This window comes from Homo sapiens, chromosome 5 (genome assembly GCF_000001405.40).
Source record: "Homo sapiens chromosome 5, GRCh38.p14 Primary Assembly".
Classification (NCBI taxonomy): Eukaryota; Metazoa; Chordata; class Mammalia; order Primates; family Hominidae; genus Homo; species Homo sapiens.
The window spans coordinates 171626765-171632764 of NC_000005.10; positions in this window are offsets into that span (position 1 = coordinate 171626765).

Below are 6000 nucleotides of genomic sequence, written 5' to 3' on the forward strand. Positions count from 1 at the left end.
TGCTTTCTTCATTCATTTATTCAACAAAAATGTATTGAGTGCTTATCTTGTGCCAGGCATCCTCTATTGCAGGAAGGGTGGTGGTGCATATTTTAAGCAGAAAATCAAACAATCTCTCCATTACGATTGCAGTCAGTGTTATGAGGAATGGTGGCCTGGGGGAGATGGGCTAGTGGGAGCTTTGGCCTCTTCCACAATCTCTATCAGATTTGATTTTCCTTGCTATGGAAAATGGACCCTTCTCAATGTCATATAAAATTCTCTGTAAATGCAGCTGCATTTCACCCTCGCCCCTACCCCTCTAACCAGATATTCTTCTAAGCACTTCCAACAAAGATATTTCCAGCAACCTTGTTAAGAAGAGCAAGTGCAAGGGGCTATTTCTCTGGCAAGAAAGTCTAGACTATTATCCAAGGCCTGTTTGGGGTGCATTTTCTTCAAAAAGCCTCTGGTTTTCACCAAGACAAACCCCTCTCTCTTTATCACACACTGAAAATCTCTTTAAAAGACTCAATAAACGGAGTAATAGAATCAAGGGTGAATTGTCTTCTCCCCTCCAGTGTAGGTGGACAGAATAAATTCTCTGCATCCCCAGGAGCTCCAGGCCTGGGATGTGGTCCATGAGAAGTAAGTAAGGTGGGTGCTCTTACATACCTATTGTTTTCAACATCTTTTTCAACTGGGAGAATCTTTTTTTTTTTGAGACAGAGTCTCACTTTGTTGTCAGGCTGGAGTGCAGTGGCACAATCTCGGCTCACTGCACACTCCGCCTCCCAGGTTCAAGTGATTCTTCTGCCTCAACCTCCCAAGTAGCTGGGACTAAGAGGCGCATGCCACCACCCAGCTAATTTGTTGTATTTTAAGTAGAGACAGCGTTTTACCATGTCGGCCAGGATGGTCTCAATCTCTTGACCTTGTGATCTACCCGCCTCGGCCTCCCAAAGTGCTGGGATTACAGGTGTGAGCCACCATGCCCGGCCTCAACTGGGAGAATCTTTTCATGATAACTGAGGTTCACAGAACACTTTCTGGGTGCTTGCTTGAATTCACAGATAAGACAATGAATGGCTCAGAAGGGTTGGAGGCCAGCCCAAGGTCACATAAGCAGGAAGGGGGCTAGATGTGAATCCAACTCCCCTGGACCCTGGGGCAGGACCCATGCTCTTGCATTACAGTGAAGTTCCAACTCTGTGCCTCCTTCCTTCCTCTTTGGAACTAAACCCCTGGGAGTCCCTGGCCTTTTGGATTCTGAAGCTTCTAAGGAAGGGATTTTGCCAGAGGTGCCCTGGCCTGGCACTTGTTGGTACCCTCAATTGCAAACTGAGTCCAGAAGCCTGGCAGCCAGAGTGTCTGTCCAGATAGGCATCTGGGCAGTGCCCACAGATGGCCCCAGTGTGATGGGCAATGCGTTAGGCATACTTTCCTTGCTGACTGATGTCATGAGCTCATTAGAGCAACGGGGTTTATAGTACAAGGCAACTATCCAGACAATAAATTAAGCTGCACAATTTAGCACTTAATTATCCTCTCTCTCATCTACTTCACTCTTGTTCCCGGGTGTCTGTCTGGGCCCTCCAGCTAGATGGTAAGATCTTCCCTCTGCCTCACGCCCCACAGTCAATCCATCATGCAGCCCCGTTGGGGCCATCTCGGGAACATCTCTCAAATACTTTCCCTTTTCCACATCCCCACAGCCTTGACCGCAGCCAGCTCTCACTCTCTCTCCCCACTGGATTATTGCCACCCTGGTCTCTCCCGCTTCAATTCCCCTCTCTGCTCCGCCCAAGTTACACAAGCATGGCTTCCCTTGGTCTGAAATCCAAAGTCCCAAAGGTCTTGGCATCCAAAGCCCTTCATGCCCAGGGTGTCTTGCCTGCCTTACCAGCCTCCTCTTCCCAAACCCCCATGTTGGCTGCCCTCCCGCGCAGAATACTAGCTTGAAGATCTTCCCTTATTAGGATCAAAGCCAGCCTCCAGGCTATTTCAATACACGAACTTCTGTATACTCAGTTTCCTCCACGTGGAATATCCCCCTCCCCACACTGACAGCCCTGCCACTCAATTTGCAAACTCATTCTCATCCCAGCAGCCTGCTCTGGAATCTCCTCCTTCAGGAAGTCTAGGGGTATTTACTTGGCAAGCCCTACAGCTGAATCTCTTCATTTCCCATCCCCTCAAAGCCCACCCCAGAGGACGCGCTTCCACAGGGATGCCCCAGATAATAAGATCAACAGGACTGTCTATCTGTGGAGGGCATGGATGGCTACAAAGCACTCTCCCACCCTTGCACTTTGGAGTCCTTATTGTTAAATCCTCAGAATCAAACCACCAAGGATCCCTTTTACAAATCCTTTTATAGATGAGGAAACTGAGGTTCAGATTACAGAGCCAGGTCCCCCTGCCCAACCCTGCCTACGTCTAAAGAGCAGGGACAGTGTTCTAGGGCTCAGGGAGAACAGGCAAGAGGACCCCATGGGGGCACCATGATGGGGGGACGACCATGGAGGACAGGGATGGGGGACAGTCTGAAGCAGGGCTGTCTTTTAATCCAAAGGAGGCTTGGCTGGTCAAATCACAGCACCTCCACCAGGCGTTCCCTTCTGCTCCTCCATTTTGCAGGTGGGTGAATGGAGGCTCAGAGAGAGGGAGGGAGGAGCAGAGGACAAGGTCACAGAGAAATAGGGACCAAGTTAGAGTCAGGTGTCCTGGCTCCCGGTCCAGCTGACCCAGTGGGCTGCAGGTCAGGGAAATCACGTGGTCGCTCCTTCTCTCTGTCCTCCCTTCCCCGAGGGCTTCCTCCATTTCCTGCGTGCCTCCTGGCAGCCAGGCCTCACCCTTGTTTTTAAAGACACAGAGGGCCCCTGTCTGATTTCCTCATTGTGCCTGGCACATAGTGGGTGCTGGGTAAACACTTTTTTTGAGTGGCTTAATTACTGAGTAAGTGAATGAGCACTGGAATTGTAAGATTCCCAGAAGGACCTAAAGCCCTTTATGGGCACAGGTCACAACCATCCTATGAGATCAGTGTCATCACACCCATCTTACAGATGAGGGCGCTGAGGCTCACGGAGGGAACAGAATTCAACCAAAGCTCTATGGTTAGAAAGCAGTTCTCAGCCATCCTAGGAAATAAAACATTACACATGCTATATATATTTTAAAGCAAGGATGTTTTCCTTCTGGTGTCGAAACAGGAAAAGCTCCCTGAGAAGCCCATTGTAAATATCATCGCTTCTTCTCAGGCCTCTGTCAGCTTATGTTATTTTATTTATCAACATTCAGTAGCGTGTGGATTCAAGAACACGTCCTCGAGTGGAACGCCAAAGAAGATGCCTGCTCTAGGGGCCAGAGCGCGCTCCGAGCAGGAAGCCCGGGGCGGGCCGTCATCCAGGCGCAGGGCTGGGTGGGCGTGGGCAGCCCTTCCCAGCGCCTCTGTCTGGGTGGAGCGGCAGGTTGGAGTTGCAGCGGCGTCTCCCTCATTTCCATAAGGGGGAGCCTGTGCGCAGGAGATCCCGTCCCAGCCCGCGCAGCCTCGCCATCCTGGGACCCGCTCCGTCAGGAGTGGCCATTCGGGTGGCACCAGCAGATGTCTACCCTCGAGGGGAGCCACAAGGTTCTGTGCAAACTCTGCCTTCCTCCGTTTATCCTCGTGTCCCCAAGGAAAATGAAGGGGACCACCCAAGGCCCCGTGTAGAAAGAACGTAGCTTTGGGGACAGACGGGACTGGGGCCCCCCTGGCTCCATCCAGGACTAGCTGCATGACCTTCAGCTGGTTACCTCCCCTAGTCCTCAGTTTATCTGTAAAACGGAGCAATACCAATTTTAGAAAGTAATGCAGAGCAGCGACAGACAGTGTCTGGGGCACAGTAAATTCTTTAAAATAAAAGAAATATTAATTACCCTGGTGATTGTTGTCTGGATTATTCATGCAAGTCCTAATTGCCACCCCAACCTTCACAGAAATTTCTGCTCATCCAGGTCCCTGGCTGAGCCTTCAGGGTGATTTACTCAGGGGCTGTGGCCTCCCTGGGCCCAGATGTAGACAAACCCAGCAGAAAGGCATTTTGAGCTTGTGGTTGCAAATATAAAACCAGGTGCTTCTCTTAACAGAAATGATGACAGAGCAAAAGTACCAAAGACTATTTGAGAGAGAGAGACAGAGAGCGCTCATAGCTGAATTCCTACCCAGATTCAGCAACCAGTTTCTCTTTTTTTTTTTACACATCCCCACCCCTAGTCCACACACGTGTTTTGGGACTGTAATATACCAGGTGCTGTTTTATTCCTGACGTGCTGTGGCCTTTGGTCTGAATCACTCCATCTCCTTTTGTTTGGTTCCTGCCAGAAAGCAAAGCACATATTTCACTGTCCCTTCCCCTGGGAGAACTTCTTTGCTGGCCTCCCTTTGCACACCTTCATGGAGCTGCGTTCGGGATAGAACGATGGCATGGCCACACAATCTGCTGCCCTTCGGCCACTTTCTTACACTTTTCTTTTTTTTCCCCAACATAGAAATAGCATATTCTCCCTGATTACTAAAGTAATACATGTGCATCATAAAACATTGGGCAGTTCAAAAGACGAAAGTCACCCAGAGATAACCACCGCTAACATTGTGTCTTATCCTATCAGACTTTCGTGTGTCTGGTGCACACACAAACCTAGTTACAACAAGGAAATCTTACAGGATATGCTGTCGTGTATTCCGATTTTCTTTGTCTGCCTATGTGGTTTTCTTGATCATTCTAAATGGCTCAGAATCATTTCATTGTACGGCAATGTACAATAAAATGTATATACACCAACATGGTGAAACCCTGGCTCTACTAAAAATGCAATATTTAGCTGGACATGGTGGTGTGCACCTGTAGTCCCAGCTACTTGGGAGGCTGAGGCACAAGAATCACTTGAACCGGAGAGGCAGAGGTTGCAGCGAGCCGAGATTGTGCCACTACACTCTAGCTTGGATGACACAGTGAGACCCCATCTCAAAATAAATAAATAAATAAAATATAATGTATACACAATAAAATGTATATGTAAAGTGACTGACAGCATAGTTCATTTAACCAAAATCTCGTATTTTTGGACATTTAGGTTGTTTCCTTTTTCTTTTCTGTTCTTTTTGTTTTTTAAGCCTTTAGTTTGGAAATAAATATAAATTCATAGGAAGCTGCAAAGATAATACAGACAATTCCTATGTACCCTTCATCTGGTTTTTCCCGATGGTGGCATCTTACATAACTCTAGTACAATGTCAAAGTCAGGATATTGACGTGAGTGCAGTCTGTGTGTATAGTTCTAGGTCATTTTATCCCATGTTGATGATCTGTGTAACCACCACCACAATCAAGACACAGAACTATTCCATCATCATCATGATTTCCCTCGGGATACCCTGGAGGATCACACCCGCTCATCTCTCCTCTTCTTCCTAACCACTGGCAATCGCCAGCCTGTTCTCTAGCTCTATACTCTTGTCATTTTGAGAAATATATTATATATATATATGTGTATATATATATATATAAAACGTTATGTATGTATGTATATTGATTTGATTTTTCGTGTGTGGCATGTGTGTAGGAGGTGAACGAGAGGAGAGTGGGAAGGGCAAAGTTTTCTCTGAATCATCCAAACTTGCCCAGCCTAGTGGCTGTTCAGCACTTGAAGTATGGCTACTTCAAATGGAGATGTGCTGTAAGTATAAAATGCACACTGGATTTGAAATCCTTAAAAAAATTAGAAAGAAAGAAAACTCATTTGTCATGTTTTGTATCGACTATACACTAAATTTATAATATGTGGATATATATTAAGTTAAGCAAAATATATAATAAAATTATTTTTACCAGTTTCTCTTTACTTTTCTAATGTAGCTACTGGAAAATTAAAACTTATGTATGTGGCTTGCACTTGCGGTTCACACTGTGTTTCAGTTGGGCAGCAAGGGCCCAAACCCTCCCTCCCACAGCCCTTTAGGATCCACGGTGGGCAGGG